The following is a 20854-nucleotide window of genomic DNA, read 5'->3' as shown; positions in this document are numbered from 1 at the left end:
AAAATGCATTAGAGAAGGAAGATTTGTATGAGAGACCACCGCACGTATCTTTCATAGCAAAGGATCTGAGAGCACTAGGAAGGGACTTGGGATGAGCTCTACTGGGGATCCTTTTCTCCTCATTGAATGCATCATGGGTTCAACCTGCCTGTGGCTGAAACTGTAAAGCCACTTGAATGGAGGGAAGCGAACCTAGAGTGAGAATGTCACTCCCTGACCCGGGTGGAACTGAATGAACTGAGCCAGTGAGACATTTCCTGTGAGCAGAAGGAGCTGCAGACTCACCACTACTGTTAGGTTACTTGAGCATATGTGTGTGTGTAATTTTAAAAAATGAAATAATTATATATATATTATTCTTCATTTTGCTTTTTTATATTATTCTTTGACTTTTGGCCTTACAATATCCTGTAGACATACTTCCATACCAATTCATGTATTGTCATCTCATTCTCTTTGAGGGAAGCACAGTATTCTATCACATAAAGGTATACTAATTTATTAACTTATTATCTATAGAAGGTTATTTGGGTATTTTTTTTCCCTTTCAAGTTTTTGTCATTACAGACAATGCTACTGTTAATATGCTTGTATATATTATGTTTTATTGATTCTCAGAGGCATATTTTTTTCACATTTTGGTATCTATGAAATCCTACAATTGTTATACAGTCAGTCAGGTGGCTGCCAAGAACATAATTGTCATTGTCCATCTATGCATCATATTGGTCATAGTTGCTCATAGTGCTGTCACTTCTATTTAGTTACGGACACTAGTGGTGCCATTTATTTCTTGAGATCAATTGCCTACTAAAACTTTTTCCAAAAAGCTACATTATGATTTGACATTGAGACATAGTGTTATAATATGTAAAGCGCAATGGGAACAGAACGGCAAAGTATAAGATCAACTTTCAGCATCAGAATGGGTGTCAGTGGATGGCGAGAAAGTTCTGGAAACAAAAAGAGCACATTTTGAAGAAATACTGCCTCACCAAACTCTGGATAGATAGCACATAGGATGTTATTATGTGGAAAAATATAGACACCAACAACTCTTAATTGAGAAGTGATTGAGAAGTGTTTGTTATATTCTGACCGTGAAGAAATTTTAGGAATGTCTCAATTAATTTTGCTTATATTTTTGTCTTATAATATACAATTAAAATTTAATATCTATGTTGGTCTGTAAAAGCTTTTTCAATCAGTATAAATTAGTTCCGTGAGATAAGAAAATAATTGTGGTGGCTGGGGGCGGTGGCTCACACCTGTAATTCCAGCACTTTGGGAGGCCAAGGTGGGCGGATCACTTGAGGTCAGGAGTTCGAGACCAGCCTGCCCAACATGGTGAAACCCTGTTTCTACTACAAATACAACAATTAGCCAGGTGTGGTGGTGCATGCCTGTAGTCCCAGCTACTTGGGAGGCTGAGGCAGGAGAATTGCTTGAACTCAGGAGGCAGAGGTTGCACTGAGCTGAGATTGTGCCACTGCACTCCAGCCTGGGAAACAGAGAGAGACTACATCTCAAAAAAAAAAATTCTTTAAAATCTTCGTGTAAGTTTTGGACATTTCTAGTTAGGTTTATTTCTAGGTATTTGAAGTTTGCTTGTGATATCCCATCTCATGAATATGGATCTTTTTATTTTTCTATTATATTCTGCTACTTGTTGTATTAGTTTTCTGTTGCTGCTATGACAAGTTACTGCAAACTTAGTGGCAGAAAATAACATGAGGGCTGGGTACAGTGGCTTACATTTATAATCCAGCACTTTGGGATGCTGAGGTAGGAGGATTGCTTGGAGGCTGAGGTGGGAGCCCAGGAGTTCAAGCCCAGCCTGGGCAACATAGAAACCCTGTCTCTACAAAAAAATTAAAATAAATAAAAAATAAGCCGGACGTGGTGGTGTGTGCCCGTGGTCCCAGCTACTTGAGAGACTGAGGCAGGGGGATCACTTGAGCTCAGGAGGTCAAGGCTGCAGTGAGCCATGATCAGGTCACTGTACTCCAACCTGGGTGACAGAACAGGACCCTGTCTCAAAAAAACAAAACAAAACAAAAACTAAAAGCAACATGAATTTAGTGTCTTATAGTTCTGGAGGTCGGAAGTGTGAAATCAGTTTCACTAAGCTGTAATCAAGGTGTCAGTAGGCCTGTGTTTCTTCAGGGGCGGGGGGTATCTAGGGGAGAATCTATTTCCACGCCCTTTCCAGTTTCTAGATCCTGCCTATACTCCTTGGCTTGTGGCTCCATCCGCCATATTTAAAGCTCATCAGTTTAACCTCTGCTTCCGTTCTTAAATCTTCTAACTCTTATGTTCTTGTTGCTCTCTTATAAGGATGTTTGTAATCACATTGAGCTCATCTGGACAATTCAGGATAATCTCACTGTCTTAGTCACCTCTACAAAGTGTTTCTGCCATGTAAGGTAACATACAGGTTCCAGGGACTAGGATGTAGACATGCTGGTGGCGGGTGGGGGTCATTATTTAACCTACCATACTTGTTCTTGAAGATAGATAGAAAATGATCAGTTTTTGTATGTTGCCTTTCTGTTATTTTCAAACAGTTTCATGTTTGATTAGTTGAGTCTCTTAGATTTACTGGCAGTTGCATCATTTGTTGCTCTTTCTGGCATTTATAGCTCATTTTTTTTTCTTGCCTTTTTCTGCATTGTCTAGAATCTCTTGAATAAGGCTCAGTAATAGCTACAAGACCAGACATCCTTGTATTGTTCTTAACTTTACTAGAAATTGCTTAATTGCTTTACCACTGAGTGTGGTGGTTTCTTATAAACCCTATTAAACTAAGGCGTTTCTGTCAAATGAAGTCCTAGCTCACTAAGATTTCAAGTTAACAAAGTATATTAAATGTATTAACAGTTCCATTTATAAAAGTAACCACATGGTTTCTCTCTTTTAACCTATTAATAGCTTTTCCAATAATGATACTCTCTGTATTCTGGGAATAAATCTTTGGTCGTAGTGTATTGTTCTTTGAATGTACTACTGACTTCTTTGTGCTAATATTTTATTTTGGATTTTTGTATTTATATCAACAAGCAAATTTGGCATAGGATGTTTAGTGATTGGCTGTGCCATCCTTGTACAGGTCGGGCATTGTGGATTATTTAGTCATATTAAATGATTTGGGGACCCTTCCACCTTTTTGTATAGTCTAGAACTGTTTAAATACTATTGGAGTTATTTGTATTTTGAAAGTTTCAGAAGTGTAACTTTGGACCACTACTACTAATCTCCAAACCTGTCTCTACCCAGCTGTGGGTCTGCATTAACCTGGAATCATCTGTACTCCTCCTGTTCCTTACCACCTGTTCATCTTTTCCTCCTGTTCCCTACCTGCTCCGTGTTGCAACATTTGAGGTACAGCTTGTGACTTGTACAGGTTTTCTTTGTGCCAAGCTGCCCAATCCATAGAGAGGAGTCGTGTCTACCAACTTGGCTTCATTTGTAGGAACCTGTCAGGCCAGGGAGTTACAAAATACAGCCTTACCTTTCATGAGACCTTCCTTTTTTCACGTAATTTGGGAGTTGTCTTTATCACTCGTTAATCATCACAGTGTTCCTGTGAAACTTCTTAGCAAGTCTGCTCTATTATTTCCACTTTAGGGACAGAGATCCTTATTGAAGGAAGTAACCTCTGATGTCAGGGTTTTGAATAAATAGTCTTTCTTGACTACTTGGATGGGTGTACCTCCACATTAAACTGTATCAGATCTGAACTGTCTTTTAGATTGATTACTATGAAACTGAGCAGAGGACAAGAAATATTTCTTTGCTCACAAGAGATAAGGAAGCCCAAACCAAGAGAATCCCGCCACCTCCTATTCTTTTCCTCATGAAAAACCTGATTGCTTCAAAGCACTTTTTTCAGTTCCTCAAGGAGCAATTCTCTGCTGAAATGTTGCTCTTAGCTCAGAATTTCGAACCGACACTTATTTGTATAAATGAGGGTATACAAGGTCCAGGACAAATAGTTGTAATTTTAGCTTAGTAAGCCAAGGAAGCTTGCAGTAAATAGACTCAAATAATTTTTTTCCTTTTTCTTTTCTTTTTTTTTTTTTTCTTGAGACAGAGTCTCACTCTGTCACCCAGGCTGGAGTGCAGTGGCACAATCTCTGCTGACTGCAACCCCCGCCTCCCAGGTTCAAGCGATTCTCCTGCTTCAGCCTCCCAAGTAGCTGGGACTACAGGCACACACCACCACGCCCAGCTAGTTTTTGTATTTTTAGTAGAGATGGGGTTTCGCTATGTTGGCCAGGCTGGTCTCGAACTCGTGGCCTCAAGTGATCTGCCTGCCTTGGCCTCCCAAAGTGCTGGGGTTACAGGCGTGAGCCACTGTGCCCGGCCCACTCAAATAATTCTTAAGAGGGGTCCTCCGATTAGGTATCTTTGGATCTGAAATCTTTCATCAAGACTGAGTTTACCTAGATATAAAAGTGGTATTACTTTGAGACTGCTACCACTAATTTCTAAATTAAAATACTGTTGAACTCATGCTAACACTTATCCTTGGAAAAATGGCTCAATTAAAAGGTAGCATTTTTTCTATAGAGTGTAAATTGATTTCTCATTTCTTTTCCACTACAGTAAAACAGACCATCAGTAACATTTCAGGATTTAATGAAACCTGCTTGAGATGGAGAAGCATCAAGACAGCTGATATGGAGGAGATGTATTTAGTAAGTGACTGAAAGTTACTGTATTTATAGATGGTTGTCTTATGTGGGAGGCTTAAAAATACCCACAAACCTAAAAATCTACATCTATAACTATCATTATCAGTAGACGATTTACTGTGACAATTGCATCAAGAAGCAAGAAGATGGCCACTTCTGTGTATTTAAAGACAGTGGCTGGGCACAGTGGCTCACATTTGTAATCCCAGTACTTTGAGAGGCTGAGGCGGGCGGATCACTTGAGGCCAGGAGTTAAGACCAGCCTGGTCAACATGGTGAAACTCTGTCTCTGCTAAAAATATAAAAATTAGCCGAGCGTAGTGGCGCATAGCTGTAATCCCAGCTATTCAGGAGGCTGAGGCAGGAGAATAGCTTGAACCCAAGAGGTGGAGGTTTCTGTTAACCAAGATCGCGCCACTGAACCCCAGCCTGGGTGACAGAGCAAAACTTTGTCTCGAAAAAAAAAAAAAAAGGAGGGGGAAGACTGGGATGAACTTCTACTGGAAGAAATTAAGTAAGAACAAAAGGGTGTCTCTTGGCCGAAGTGTCAGGGTGGTTAAGGAAAGGGTAGGGTCACCAGAAGCTGGCAGGAAGAGGAGAAAAACTGTTCTCAGGTTCTAGCAGACCAGCTACGAGTATTCTAATTCAGGTCCTGCTTAGTTTGGATTCCTAATATTCTTTCTAGGAAAATGTTCTTGTCCTTGCTCCTGCAGTTTTGCCAATAGACTTTCTTGTTGTGTATGTGCACTGTATGTGTGAGAATAAGGAGAAAGCTGCCAGTATTGGGACCTTAGCCTTTTGTGTGTTTTTATTTAAAAATATATTTATTATACAAATAATATTTTAAGTACAATATTTATAGTATTGCAACTCTAATATTTGCTTACTGCTGCATTTCACCTTTTGAAGAAACATTAGAGTCCAGAGAGAGAGAGAGAGGAAGAAAGCTCATGAAAACGGGAAGGGGCTGGGCGCGGTGGCTCACGCCTGTGATCTCAGCACTTTGGGATTCGAGGTGGCAGATCACTAGAGCTCAGGAGTTTGAGACCAGCCTGGGCAACATGGCGAAACCCTGTCTCTACAAAAAATACAAAAATTAGCTGGATGTGGTGGCATGCATCTGTGGTCCCAGTTACTTGGGAGGCTGAGGAGGGAGGATCACTTGAGCCTGGGAGGTTGAGGCTGCAGTGAGCCGAGGTCATGCCACTGCACTCCAGCATGGGTGACAGAGTGAGGCCCCCATCTCAAAAAAAAAAAAAAAAAAAGAGAAAGAAAAAGGAAAAGGGGAGGTTTCAAGGCATCTAAAGCCTTTTAGGCCAACCATTCACCCAGTGAGCTTTTTTATGTTTCAGTTCCACATTTGGGGCCAGAGATGGTATCAGAAGGAATTTGCCCAGGAAATGACCTTTAATATCAGTAGCAGCAGCCGAGATCCCGAGGTGTGCTTGGACCTACGTCCGGGTACCAACTACAATGTCAGTCTCCGGGCTCTGTCTTCGGAACTTCCTGTGGTCATCTCCCTGACAACCCAGATAACAGGTAAATCTTGAATAACAGCATTTGGATTAACAAAGTTACCACAGAATTGTTCATAGGTCCTGATAAAGAGGAACACTGTTGCTTTTTATCATTATATAATGAACTTTAACAGGGAGAGGAGGAAGGACATGGAATTGGAGAGGTGCCTTAAGGCGCCTCTGTGACTGTTATGTTTCATTCTTTTTTCTTTTTTTGAGGCAGGGTCTTGCTCTGTCGCCCAGGCTGGAGTGCAGAGGCACGATCATGGCTCACTGCAGCCTTGACCTGGGCTTAAATGATCCTCCTGCCTCAGCCTCTTGAGTAGCTGGGATTATAGTTGTATAGGCCACCATGCCTGGCTAATTTCTGTATTTTTTGTAGAGACGGGGTTTCACTATGTTGCCTAGGCTGGTCTCGAACTCCTGGGCTCAAGCAATCCACCTGCCTCGGCCTCCCAAAGTGCTGGGATTACAGGTGTAAGCCACTGCGCCCAGCCTGTTATGTTTTATTTTTAAAAAGATACCTAATAACCACAGGGGAGGTCTGTGGGGAGGGGGAGGGGGAAGATACCTGAAACAAAATGTCAGCATTGATGAAATGTGGGTAGTGTGTCCATCCATGGTGTTGGTTGTATAGCTTCTGGATATTTAAAGCATTTAAAATACTTTATACTTAAACAAAAAATGCTTGTGGCTCTTTCTTTCTCAGGAATATTTAGTTGGCATCCTGTTGCAAGTACTTTAAGAGTAGATTACTAGCTAGGCACAGTGGCTCAAACCTGTAATCCCAGCACTTTGGGAAGCTGAGGAGGGTTGATCATGTGAGGATCATTTCGAGATCAGCCTGGCTGACGTGGTGAAACCCCACCTCTACTAAGAATACAAAAATTAGCTGGGTGTGGTGTCAGGTGCCTGTAATCCCAGCTACTCGGGAGGCTGAGGCAGGAGAATTGCTTGAACCCAGGAGGTGGAGGTTGTGTTGATCTGAGATCGCACTCCAGCCTAGGCAACAAGAGCAAAACTCCATCTCAAAAAAAAAAAAAAAAAAAAAAAAAAAAAAGTAGATTACTATCAGGGGACAATGATTGTAGTCCTCCGGCTATAGGGCCCCAGTAAATTCACTTTCCACTCATTTTCTCCTCCCTCTTCACATCTGTGACCCCCACTTCACACATGCTCTGAGCAAATACTAAGCATATTAGCTTCTTGATTCTTATTTCACTGAGAAATTAGAAGTAGTCAGGTGAGGACTTCCCACGCTCAGCCCTGCCGTTCCTCCTTGCATCCTGTTCTGCCTCCCTTCCTGTCCCTGCTCGTGTGTAAGGCTGCCATCCCCTCAACTTGTGCCTTAGATCCCATCCCTTCTTCCCTGATCAGCACTTCCCCTCAATACAGAATTATCCCCAGCATTGCCTAGCATGTTGCAACATCCTCCTTGTGAACGAAAAGAAAGAAAAAATGAGCAGACCTTCTTTGAGCCCATATTTGTCTTCAGCTACTTTGCCTTCTCTCTGCCCCTTTCTATAAAAACTCCTTGAAAGAAATGGCTGTTCTGTAGGCTCCACAGCCCTACCTCCTGTTCTCACTTTCACTCATCCCACGTGGGAAACATACGTCTTCATTGCTTTACTGAAAGGCTCTTCGTTTGATCTCCGTCTTGCCAAATCCAATGGCCAGTTTTGTTCTTATCTGATTTCTTCGATAGCGTTGACACTCCCTCCCTCTTGAAACCCCCTCTCCCTTAGTTTTGGTTCCTTCTGCCTTGCTGTCCCCTCTCAGTCTTCTTTGCTAGCTCCATCTACTTTTATGACCCCTCTTCAGCCTCCTTTTCTTCATTATCTACCCTTTCTGCTTAGGTGATCTCAACCAGTCTTATGGCTATAACTATTACCTATATGCAGAGGATTTCCAAAGATCAATTTCTAGTCCCAGCCTCTCCTTTGAGCACCAGACTCCTATATCCACCCAACTTCTACACATGTCCTATTGAACATCTAATACGCAAATCAAACGGAACTTGTGATTTCTCACCTCTGCCCTCGCCCCCAAATCGGTTTCCACCCAGGCTTCTCTGTTTCTATCTGTTACTTTCTGTCTGTTATTGGAATTTCTGTTCACCCAATTGTTCAGACCAAAAACAAGTCCTAATTGGTTCTATCCCATCCCCAAATTTCTAATCTGTCAACAAGCCCTGTTGGCTTGCTGTCTGAAATATATTCTGAATTCCACCACTTCTCCCCACCTGTGCCTTTTCCACAACTACCCTAATCCAAGACAGCCACCTCTTGCTTGGATTCCTGCTGTAGTTTTCAAACTGGTTTTCTCTTGCCTATATACCTCCCACCCTGGACCTTAGTCTTAGTCTTCACCATAACTTTCAAAAGATCACTCAGCACTCAGAGTGATCTTTTAAAAATGCATTTGGGAACATGTCAGCACCAGCTCAAAACTCTCCAGTGAGTTTCCATTAAAGTTAGAATGGAATCCAAGTTCCTCATCATAGGACATGTCATCTGGCCCCTGCCTACTTCTAATTCATCTCCCCCTGCTCTCCTCCTTTCCCATTAAGCATCAGCTGTCTCCCTGGCCTTCTTGCAGTTCCTTCAATGGGTCAAAGTTTTTCCAGCCTCCAGACTTTTCCATCTGCAGTTCACACTTCCTGGGACACTGTCAACATATGGCTTCTCCATAGTTGTTCAGGTGCCTGCTCAACTGCCATCACCAGCCTCCACGCTAGTACTCTGTATCTACTTACCCTGCTTCAATTTCTTCATAGAGCTTCATATTAATAAAAAATATTAATTATTAGTTTTTAGAGATAGGGTCTCACTCTGTCACCCAGGCTGGAGTGCAGTGGTGCAATCATAACTCACTGCAGCCTTGAGCCCCTGGGCTGTAGCAATCCTTCTGCCTCAGCCTGCTGAGTAGCTGGGACTATAGGCGCTCACCACCATGCCTGGCTAATTACAAAAGGGATTTTTTTGTTTTTATTTTTTGTAGAGATGAGGGTCTCCCTATGTTGCCTAGGCTGGTCTTGAACTTCTGGCCTCAAGTGATCCTCCCATCTCACCTCCCAAAGTGCTGAGATTATAGGCATGAGTCTCTGTGCCCAGCCTAGAGCTTGTTTTCTAAAAACTTATTTTTTTTTTATTTTCTTTCTCTCCCACTAAAATAGGAGCTTCCTGAAGACAGTGATTTTTGTCTGTATGTTTTACATTCAACCCTCAGTGGGTAAGAATGGTACTGATAGATAGCATAACAGCCCAAAATTTTAAAATAACAGCCAGTGGGTGGTATTGGTGTTGAGGAGATGTCTGGTTAGGCAATGAATTCTGGCTACCAGAAAGAATTCCCCACATTTTGGGCTGGAGAGACAAGTGGTGTTCAGTCTGGGCATTTCTTTCTGTGGTGACTTATTAAAATGAATAGCGACTCCATCTCCATTTCCTACTCTGTGGTCTTTCTCATATTTGGATGCTGTGCTTTTCTGGTTTGAAGGACCGTTGCATATTTTTTTGAGTAAAGGGGAGGGGGTTTCATCTTGATGAGACACTTACTCCTTGTTTGGTAGGCTGAATAGAGCTTTAGTGGCTCAAGTTCCCTCTCTCTGTGCTCATGGCCACCAGGGGACATTGTTGAGCTGTTTAATGTTCATTGAGATGCCTATTTTCCAACTCTACCCACTTTAAAGGACTCGTAATTTTAAAGAAGCATAAAAAAATCAAGTTGCTTTGATCTTATGAAAGAGTTAAAAAAAAAAAAAAACCAACCCCTTTCTTTTATAAAAGGAGGAAAAAAGAGAAGCTTATGTGTTGATGTGCAGAGATACTCGTGGTTTCCTAAGAAGTGTGTGGCCTTATTTCGGTAAAATCATGAACTTTTGAATTTTGGCAGATGTGTTAGGCTAAGGATTTGGGTCTGGACAATGTAGCTGCTCATTTCCCAGAAGGAAAGAGAGTGGAATTTCCCTTCTGAGTGTCTTACGTTAAATCTTACTGATGGGAACAGGATGAAAACAAGTGCTTTAAATACATCGCTGACCTCAGAGGACAGTGAAGGTTCTAGGAATGTTGAGGGACAGAGGCAAGTGTTTCGGTGAATGCAGGAAAGCAGGGGCTGGCGAGGGGGTGGGTGAGATGGAGCTGTGGCCTCACGGTGTTTCTGACTCTTGGCTGATAGGCTGCAGACGGCACATTGAACTGAATTCTTCAGGATAGCCCCACGGCACGCATCCCCTTTAGGACAGGGTGAGGAACAAACTTTCATCCTTGATGCAGGCCCCAAAGAGTCAGAAGAGCATCCACATGTTGAGTGTGCTATTTTCTTTTTCTTTTTTTTTGTTTTGAGACAGAATTTCGCTCTGTCACCCAGGCTGGAGTGCAGTGGCGTGATCTGAGCTCACTGCAACCTCCACCTCCTGAGTTCAAGTGATTCTTATGTCTCAGCCTCCCAAGTAGCTGGGATTACAGGTGTGTGCCACCACGCTTGGCTAATTTTATATGTTTAGTAGAGATGGGGTTTCACCATGTTGGCCAGGCTGATCTTGAACTCCTGGCCTTAAGTGATCCGCCCACTTCGGCCTCCCAAAGTGCTGGGATCACAGGTGTGAGCCACTGCACTGGCCTCCTTCCCTTCCTTTCCCTTTCCCTTTCTTTTTTTGAGACAGTCTTGCTCTGTTGCCCAGGCTTGCTCTGTTGCTTACGCAGTGGTGTGATCTCGACTCACTGCAACCTCTGCCTCCCAGGTTCAAGCGATTCTCATGCCCCGACCTCCCAAGTAGCGGGAATTACAGGCACACATCACCAGCCCCGTCTAATTTTAAAAATATATTTTTAGTAGAGATGAGGTTTTGCCATGTTGTCCAGGCTGGTCTCAAACTCCTGACCTCAAGTGATCTGCCTGCCCTTAGCCTCTCAAAGTGCTGGGATTACAGGCATGAGCCACTGTCCAGCTGAGTATGCTATTTTCTTGCTAAGTCTAAAAGCTTTGTAGGCAACATTTTCTTATATAGAGAGAGAAAGAGGAAACCAGAGAGAGGAGGATGGGGGTGGGTGGGGGCGGGGTGGGGAAGAGAGAGAAAGAGAGAGAGAGAGAGTGAGCGTGAGAAAGCCAATACATACGTAAATGTGGAGATAAACCAGACCACTTGTCTTACACAACATGGTGATCATTTGAGATGGAATGTTTATTATGGAACCAAGCATGCTGGAGGAGCAAAGGGAAGAAAAGATGAAAAGGAAATTATTTATTCCCATGTCTTCAGTACCAAGGCTGGCAACTTCTTCAAGAAATTTCCCATCTCTCATTGTATTCATAACAAGAAAAAGGAAAGTACTTTTTCAGACGGTTAGGAAAACAACAGAAAACACAGGAGTGTCCCAGGCATTTATCAGATTGTCACTTTATCAGAGAGGTCCAGCCAGGACTGCCCTGATCCTCCCTGCCCCTGCCTCTGACACCGCCCTCCACAATGGGATGTCCTCAGGGAAGACTGTGCAGGACTAGGTCTCTTGGTTTCTTTTACCGAGGCTTCTCTTTCATGGTTGGTTACCCACAAACCATCCAAGGATGCTGTACCCCTGTGTCCTCAGTGAGAAACCCATCTCCCCTGGCTGGTTCCAAGGTACCACACTTATCCCTGGGGGCCCCCCTGGCTCCAAGGGGGCTGAAGCTGTACCACAGGTCAGCAGAGGGACTGGCCTTCATGCCAGCTGTTTTCCTTTCCAAGTCTTCCGTGGACACAGGCTCTTTTGATATCTGGAGCCCTAACATTAGGTCACGCTAGGAGAGGCATGTTTGCCCTTCCATGCTTCCACAGTCCACGTATTTCTCTCATTCCCAGAAATCTCCCAACTGCTTTCTAGCTTCAAAACAAACCCCAAGCCCCCAAGTAAATGGCTGTGTGGGGATGGGTGTCTCCCAGACCCTCTTGCTACCAGCATCTGAATCTCAGCCAAAGTTAGCTTTTATAAAACGTGCATGAGAAGGTATTCTTAGATCAGAAGCCTGGAAACTAGGGTTTCTGTGTGTGTTGGGAGAGGGGGAGGGGCTTGCTGAGCTGTAACAATTTAATTTAGCAAATATTTATTTATTTACTTGTATTTGTTAAAAATGAGATGGGTTGGCCAGGCACGGTGGCTCATGCCTGTAATCCCATCCCAGCACTTTTGGAAGCTGAGGTGGGTGAGTTCGAGACCAGCCTGGCCAACATGGTGAAACCCAGTCTCTACTAAAAATACAAAAATTAGCTGGGTGTGGTGTGGGTGCTTGTAATCCCACCTACCTGGGAGGCTGAGGCAGGAGAATCTCCTGAACCCGGGAGGCAGAGTTGCAGTGAGCTGAGATTGTGCCACTGCAGTCCAGCCTAGACAACAGAGTGAGACTCCGTCTCAAAAAAAAAAACAAAAAAAAAAAAAAAAGAGAAAGAAAGAAATAAAAAAGAATAAAAATAAATAAATAATAAAAGGAGATGTCTTGAGAAGTCACTAGCAAATATTTTTCGATTGGTTATGTACAAAGACCTGTGCTGCCTACTGAGGATGTACATGTGAAAAGAAATTGGTTTCTTCTCCTTGGGAGGTGAAGTCTCATAACTTTATTGATGGAGAAGATATATCTAGCTGATGACTTGTAGTGGAAGACACTATTTTTTCTGTTGCCTTCAATTTTAATTTACCATGCCTTGGATGGGATGATATATCTGGAGAGGTGCCTGAGGATTAGAAAAGAACCATCATGCTGTGTTTATTTTTCTACCTACTTTTTATTATAGAAAATCCAGAAAAGTAGCATTGTACTGGGTTTTTGGGCGGTGGAGTTGTGTTTTAATTCAATTGTTTGTGTTTACTTGAAGTTTGCAGTACAAAGTTGGAGACGTTGCTTAGTTTTGATGCAGATAAAATTTTCTTCCATTTTTGGTTCTTTTTGTTCATTTTGATGGGTTTTACATAGAGACATTTTAACACATTTGTACTTATACTACCCTTTTTCTTTGGTTGATTTAATAGTTTACCTTCATTAGTGATATTAATATTTTGATAAATATTACAAATTCCTACTCCAAGGCTATTTACTCTTTTGTTTTCTTTTCAATTTTTTTTGAGACTGAGTTTCATTATGTTGCCCTGGCTGGAGTGCTGTGGCACAATCATAGCTTACTGCAGCCTCAAACTCCTGGGCTCAAGCAGTCCTCCTGCCTCAGCCTCCCAAGTAGCTGAGACTACAGGTGCATGTCACCACACCCTGCTAATTTTTTCTTTTTGTAAAGATGAGGTCTTACTATGTTGCCCAGGCTGGTCTCAAACTCCTGAGCCCAAGCAATCATTTTTGCCTAGGCCTCCCAAAAAGCCAGGATTATAGGTGGGAGCCACTGCACCTGACCTACTTTTTTGCACTTAAAATTTAGTTTCAGGCTGGGCACAGTGGCACATTCCTATAATTCCAGCGCTCTAGGAGGCTGAGGAGAGAGGACTGCTTGAGTCCAGGAGTTCAAAGCTGCAGTGAACTATGATCATGCCAGTGCACCCCAGCCTGGGCGACACAGTGAGACCACTTTTCTACAACAAACAAACAAACAAAACCAAAACAAAACCACTTAGGTTCATTTGGAATTTATTTTGATGTCTGATATGAGGCTAAATTTACATTGTAATTTTTCTCCCCAGCTGTAAGCCAGTTCCCTATCACCTTTGGAACTACTGACCATCCATGCCACCTGGTGCATTTCTTTGGGTCTCTTTCCAGACTGTCTAGCTTTTTTTCACTGTTTGTCTGTCCTGTGCGTGTACTTTACTATTTCAATTGCTGTAATTTTATGATACATTTAATATTTTTTTTTGCAGAGCAAATTCTCCTTCATTACTTTTCCCCACATTTCCCTCCATGTGAGGATTTCTTTTGCCATTTGCTTCTAGCAGAGGAGGGATATTCCTGACATCCGAGGATGGTAATGAAGGTCTCTGTTCTGGTTCCTCTCCCATCTCACACACCCAAGGTGAAAGAGCTATATTTTCCAGCACAGGCAGGACCCATTTCTTGCCTTGGGTCTAAATCAGTTTAAATCAGTAACGAGGTTGATGGAAAGGAGAGCAGGTCTACCCAGGACATCAGTTTGGGAGACAAGGAAGAGCACCTTGGAAAATTCAGCTGAAAGTCAAGTTTGTTCCACCTCGAAATGTGGCTGAGAACCAGCCTGACGAGGCTTAGGCTTGTACATTGGAGAGAAAAAGTAGACTGTTTAAAATATAAGGCAGCGGCTGGGCGTGGTGGCTCATGCCTGTAATGCCAGCACTTTGGGAGGCCGAGGCAGGTGGAATCACCTGGGGTCAGGAGTTCGGGACCAGCCTGGCCAACATGGAGAAACCCCGTCTCTACTAAAAATACAAAAATCAGCCGTGTGTGGTGGTGCATGCCTGTAATCCCAGCTACTCGGGAGGCTGTGGCAGGAGAATTGCTTGAGCCCGGGAGGCGGAGGCTGCAGTGAGCTGAGATCACACCATTGCACTCCAGCCTGGGCGACAAGAGCGAAACTCCATCTCAAAAAGCAAAAGCAAAAACAAAAACAAAAACAAATAAAATAAAATATAGGGCAGGGAGACCTTAGGCAAACAGAGCAGAAAATGGTCTCAAAGTCACATGTTGATTGAACCAGATGACTGTGGTGCCTTGAAAACTGTGACTCTAGATTGGGAAAGAGTGACATCACCTGGACCAAGCAGGGGGATGGCCTTCCTGCTCGGTCTGCAGTTGCCTCTTCTGAGCTCAGTGAGTACTTTGTTCTGCTTCTCCTGTGTGGTTTTAAAATGTTAGCCAAGAGATTAGAGGAACTAGAATTATTACTCTTGGAGTAAAGAGCTGGTGGGGGCGGGGCGGGGTGGGGTGGGGCGGAGTTCTCACACAGAAAAGAGTGACCAGTTAATCTCCACCTTGGCTGAGAAGAGGAGACACGTAATAAAAAAAGTTAATTTTACTGTGACAACAAAACGTCACAAGTGAAAGGGCATTTCGGTGATAGCAAAGGGCCTGAGGGCAGTTCGATCTCAAAGGGGAAGGGGTACGTTCCCAGGGGACATGTGTGGGCTTTTCCTCTCTCCTCCATCACTGCCACAGGAATCCAGCTGTTGTCTTCTCAGCTGTATCCTACAGAATCTCTCTCTGGACTGCTCTTGAAAATAGCATAGACCTTCATTTCAACAAATGAGTGATGTGAGGCCTAGACTCTAAGCAGAGGCTTTTCCAGGTGACCTCCTGGGACACCTGGCAATGCCGCAGGTTTAGGAAAAACATGATCTATATTGCAGTGTCTAAGAGACTCTGGGAGAAATTCTAGACCTAACACTGTTTCATAAAGGCCACAGAGTTCTCTTACTCTTCCACCTGGTCTTAGAGCCTGGGTTTCTCGGTGGTCCGCCCTTGGCCCCCATCTCTCCTCACATACTTTGATACTGGCTCCCTGGTGGCCACGTTCACTCCTCCCTGTGAGCTGCCTCTGTATCTCCACCATGGGGTTTGCTCCTAGGCTCCAGACCTATGTTTCTAACTGCCTGCTGGAGGATTCCTTATACACTTCAACCTGAACAGACCTAGAAGTGAGCTGCTTCTCGTCTTCCCCCAGACTTGGTAAATGACATCACTGCTGACTTGGTTGCCAGATTCCTGCCGTCTCTCCCCTGAGCAAGGTTTCCGTTTGTTCCCTCTTCTCCATTCTCAGTGCTCTCACTTGCAGCAGACCTCGAGCACTTCCGACCTGGATTATTGGACAACCTGTATTTTTGCCCTTTTTCTATTCATCCTTTGATCAGCTCTCTAAGTTGTATTTTTGAAGTGCAGAACGGCTAAAAATATTTTTTTTTTTTTTTTTTGAGACAGGGTCTAGCTGTTGCCCAGGCTGGAGTGCAGTGGTGCAATCTTGGCTCACTGCAACCTCTGCCTCCCGGGCTCAAGCAATCCTCCCACCTTGGCCTCATGAGTAGCTGGGATCACAGGTGTACACCACTGTGCCTGACTAATTTAAAACATTTTTTGTAGAGACAAGGTTTCACCATGTTGCCCAAGCTGGTCTTGAACTCTTGGCCTCAAACAACCTGCTTGCCTCAAGTGCTGGGATTACAGGCATGAGCCAGTGCACCCAGCCTGCTAAAAATCTTTCAATGGCTTCTTATTACTTCTGGAACCTCAGATCTCTCAGATCTGACCCACACCTACCCCTCTAACTTGACCACCTACTTCTACTCTGCCAGACCTCAACCTTTCAGCCAGGAACTCCATGTAGTTCTATCCCTCCCTGCCACCACCTCATGCCTCTGCAGATGTCTATTTCCGTGTTTGATAGGCTCAGCTCCCTGCCTTCAGTTAGATGTTCCTCCTCACATCCACAGTGCTCTGTATATAACTCCATCACAGCTCTGGGCACTACCTTTACAAAACTGTCTCCATGATTACACTCCAAGCTCCCAGAAAGCAGAAAGCATGTCTTCTGTGCTTGTCTCCCCCAGCCTAGCACAGAGCCTGCGGCAGAGGTGGCTAATGGGTGTTTGTTGAATGCAGATATATGAATAATATATATAGTAGTGCTTTAACAACTGTAAAGGTCCAGGCAGGTCTAAGTTTTTATTTATTATAATTTGAGATTGAGGGTTTCTACCCCAAAGCTATTTTCTAATCTGGTAAATACAGTCTTGAGAATCTATTTTGGCCTCAGAGTCCTTCAGTTCACAGTGGCAGGGTTTAGGGCTAGGGTGGGGGGATTGGGGGGGAGGCATTCATACATATGTTTTTAATAGCTCTTTCTCTTTCCTTCCATCATGCCCTTCCTCCCTTGCCCTACTGAGCTGATGCAGTGATAGACTTTGAAGGAGGGGTGGTTTAGTCCAGGGTCTAAAGGGGATTCTTAAGGCAGTTCTTCCTGCTGTCCTCACTGTCTCCACCACCCAAGGGGTTTAGCATTTGCCTGGAATTCACAGCAATTCTTCTTGCACAAATGCATAAGGACCACTTCCCTACCGTGTTCACTTGGCCTAGCACCAGAGTTCCTGCCAGTACACAGCTGAGGGTTCTGCCTTTCCACAGAATACCAAGGCGCTGGATGCATTCTATAGTCAGGGCTCTTTTGGTTGCAAGTGACAGAAACCCAACTCCAACCAGCTTAAGCATGTGGAATCTGTGGGATCACAGAACTGGGAAGGCCCAGGATGGATCTTGTTTGGAGACAGCAAGCTTCAGTCACACGTGGTGTCACCACAGGCCCGTTGCTCTTCCAGCCATGAGGCCCTCTTTCTGCCAAATTCTTCCAGCCAGACCTGGGAGGATGGACATTGTACTATTGGCCTACCTGGTACTTACAGCTACAATCTAAGAAGAAGAATAAAACCCTCCAATCTTCTAGGCCTGGTGTGGTGGCTCACGCCTGTAATCCCAGCACTTTGGGAGGCAGAGGTGGGCGGATCACCTGAGGTGAGGAGTGTTGAGACCAGCCTGGCCAACATGGTGAAACCCCATCTCTACTAAAAATACAAAAATTAGCTGTGCATGGTGGTGTATGCCTTGTAGTCCCAGCTACTCGGGAGGCTGAGGTAGAAGAAGAGCTTGAACCTGGGAGGCAGAGATTGCAGTGAGCCAAGATCATGCCACTGTACTCCAGCCTGGGTGACAGAGTGAGACTCCATCTCAAAAAAACAGATAAACAACAAAAAATAAAACCTCCAATCTCCTAAACAGATTGCTCTTTTTGAGCCATCTTCTGACTGGGGAATGGCAATCCATAATCACTGGGCCCTGGGCCAGTGGGGATTTGGAGTACTGGGAATGCTGGCCCCATAAGAACCATATGGGAAGGAGAAGGGCCGCTCTCCACAGAAAAAGGGATGCTGAGCACTTACATATAAAGTATGTAACATATGAAAAGACAACACGTACGGACTCGGAGAATCTCAGGCACAAGGTGTCCCATCTTTGGGAGTTTCGCGATTACAGGGTTGCAGCTTTCCATGGTCTCTTCCAGGTTTGTTTTCTTTCAAGCCCCGTTCATTCAGCAGAATGCCACTCCAGACCTGACTTAGGAACACTGCCTATTTCGCCTGGCTTCTGTTGCCACTCTCTGTGCTGTAAGGAACCCTCTTTCTATATTACAAGTCACAGTTCCCTGAATGACATTTCCTGTGTACTCAAGCTGGGAAGGAGCTAAACCTGTCCCTATGGTCTCCCTCCTGGGGTCATTTCTGAGTTTTTTCTTTTCTATTCATCCCTTCCCTTTGAACTTGCTAATTAAGAGATCCTTGGTGTTTGACACCCCAGGACCCCCAAGCTCTGTTCCTTACGGTCTCAGGCACAGAGGTCTCTCATTCCTCAGGGATTTGTAATTCCAGGTTTCTACTTCTAGGTCATGGTTTAATCTCAGGTAAAGTGAACGCAAGCATTGTCATGGCCTGGCAATGTAGCGAAGGAGACTTTGGAGTCAAATTACTGAGTTCCACACTTGGCTCGGCCGGCCGTCTTCTAGTGGTGTGACTCGGCCTGCCTGAGCCTTGATTTCCTCACTGATAAGATAGAGATGATTGTCACGCAGAGCTGCTGTGAGTATTTGTTGAAACAGCAGAGGCAAAGTTCCTAGCATAGAATTGGCAACTAGTAGCTCAAGTGATATCATACAGGTGCCAACAGGCGCTGACGGCTGCTGTGTTCCAGGCACTGTTTTATTCTCTTTACTTGTGTTGACTCATTAACTATTATTGTTAATCATTATGAATTGGCTCATTAATTCCCTCAACAGGCCTAACAGGTAGAGGTTGTTTCTACCCCTATTTAACAGATGAGGCTGCTGGAGGTATAAGTGATAGAACCAGGATAGCAACCCAAGTCCTGTGTTCCTACCCACTACATCGTATTATTTCTGCAGTTTAACTGTAGTCTAGCTTCTCTGATGTGAGCCACACTGGGTAGACCTCTAACTCTGCAGTAATTGTGGCAAGTGGATCATTTTATTGGAGCTGATGTGTTTGTAAAATCTTTGGGGATTCAGTGTTTTTATTTTTACTTTTTGAGACAGAGTCTCACTTTTTCGCCCAGGCTGGAGTGCAGTGGCACAATCTCGGCTCACTGCAACCTCTGCCTCCCAGCTTCAAGCAATTCACCTGCCTCAGACTCCTGAGTAGCTGGGATTACAGAGGTGTGCCACCATGCCTGGCTAATTTTTGTATTTTTTTACTAGAGATGGGATTTCACCATGTTGCCCAGGCTAGTCTCAAACTCCTGACCTCAAGTGATCCGCCCACCTCTGCCTCCCAAAGTGCTGGGATTACAGGCATGAGCCACTGTCCCTGGCCGGTGTTTTTAAAGTAGAGTTTGTTAGTTCACTCAAAGGGGATGAAAATTTGCCAGATCAATTGGTAGAACCAAATGTTTAAGATACCCCAAGGTGAATGAGAGGGGTGTGTAAGCAGAGCGTGAGTTCACATTCTGACTCTACGACTTGCTAATCGTGTGGCCTTTGGACAAGTAACAATCTGTCATGTATCAATTTCCTCATCTATAAAATGAGTTTTTCTGAGATAATAACTGTACTTGTTCCACCTCTGAGATTAGGGAAATTGAAGAAGATACATAAGCGTTAGAAAGGGATCAAAGTAATCAGTTTTATTGCTGGTAAAACTGGTTTGGGTCTGAGGCTTCTTTTTTTTTTTTTTTTTCTGAGACAGAGTCTCACTCTGTCACCCAGGCTGGAGTGCAGTGGCATGATCTTGGCTCACTGCAACCTCTGCCTGCCCGGTTCAAGCGATTCTCCTGCCTCTGCCTCCTGAGTAGCTGGGATTACAGGTGCCCGCCACCACGCCTGGCTAATTTTTGCATCTTTAGTAGAGACAGAGTCTCACCATGTTGGCCAGGCTGGTCTCAAACTCCTGGCCTCCGGTGATCCGCCTGCCTTGGCCTTCCAAAGTGCTGGGATTACAGGCGTGAGCCACCGCACCCCCGCACCCGGCCAAAATGAAGCTTCTTGAACTTCCTCCCACGCCTACACTTTGTGCCCCACCTATGGGGAAGTGGAAGCTATAATGCAGTGGTCCCCAGCCTTGTTGGTGCCAGGGACTGGTTTCATCAGAGACAGTTTTCCAACGGACTGGGGTGGGTAGGGGGATGGTTTCGGGATAAAATTGTTCCACCTCAGATCATCAGGCATTAGATTCTCATAAGGAGTGCACAATCTAGATCCCTTGTATGCACAGTTCACAATAGGGTTCATGCTCTTATGAGAATCTAATGCTGCCACTGATCTGACAGGAGGTGGAGCTCAGGCAGGAATGCTTGTCCACCTGCTGCTCACCTCCTGCTGTGTGGCCTGGTTCCTAACAGGCCACAGACTGGTACTGGCCCACCACCTGGGGTTGGGAACCCCGGCTATAGGGCAAATGTAGACCAGGCTTCAGGCAGGTGACTCAGGTTTGCCTAGAGATGGACAGTAGGACTGGGAGGTGGGAAATCACCTGTCCTGCATTCAGGCAGCCCCCACCCGCCCCCCCCCCAAAAAAAGAAAGAAAAATAAAAAAATAAGGATGGGGCTACATGGGAACTAGCTGTTTCACAAATCACAGGGATGGATAGAAGGCCAGGTGGAAGCTCTTTTCCTAATACTTTGGAGAGGGAAGAAGT

At 44.4% G+C, this 20854-nt stretch overlaps 1 protein-coding gene across 14 annotated transcripts in view, besides 3 other annotated features; it reads left to right on the top strand.

Moving 5' to 3' along the window:
- SUSD1 (sushi domain containing 1) overlaps positions 1 to 20854 on the top strand; it is a 134515-nt gene that overhangs the window by 90524 nt on the left and 23137 nt on the right. For 13 of the 14 annotated variants that reach the window (XR_007061338.1, XR_007061340.1, XR_007061339.1 and 10 more), the window contains 2 exons: positions 4609 to 4700; positions 6050 to 6236. Coding sequence is in view for 10 of the 14 variants with exons in the window: in XM_047423727.1 (XP_047279683.1) it covers positions 4609 to 4700; positions 6050 to 6236 (279 nt within the window). In the remaining 4 variants the exon portion in view is untranslated. The remainder of the gene's footprint in view (positions 1 to 4608; positions 4701 to 6049; positions 6237 to 20854) is intronic. The other variant, XR_929835.2, reaches the window with a different exon arrangement.
- Positions 240 to 319: an enhancer, noted in NCBI's record as "active region_28819". NCBI's record gives its function as "activates an Ori minimal core promoter by ATAC-STARR-seq in GM12878 lymphoblastoid cells {active_cell/tissue: GM12878}" and the evidence as "EXISTENCE:reporter gene assay evidence [ECO:0000049][PMID:35858748]".
- Positions 7584 to 7683: an enhancer, noted in NCBI's record as "active region_28818". NCBI's record gives its function as "activates an Ori minimal core promoter by ATAC-STARR-seq in GM12878 lymphoblastoid cells {active_cell/tissue: GM12878}" and the evidence as "EXISTENCE:reporter gene assay evidence [ECO:0000049][PMID:35858748]".
- Positions 10889 to 11058: an enhancer, noted in NCBI's record as "experimental_106077 CRE fragment used in MPRA reporter constructs". NCBI's record gives its function as "activates a minimal promoter by MPRAs in K562 erythroleukemia cells, with activity observed for both the introgressed and non-introgressed 9:114836081 variant alleles {active_cell/tissue: K562}" and the evidence as "EXISTENCE:reporter gene assay evidence [ECO:0000049][PMID:34662402]".

This window comes from Homo sapiens, chromosome 9 (assembly GCF_000001405.40).
Source record: "Homo sapiens chromosome 9, GRCh38.p14 Primary Assembly".
Classification (NCBI taxonomy): domain Eukaryota; kingdom Metazoa; phylum Chordata; class Mammalia; order Primates; family Hominidae; genus Homo; species Homo sapiens.
Note: the sequence above shows the minus strand (reverse complement) of the source record. Positions and strands in the feature narration are given on the sequence as shown.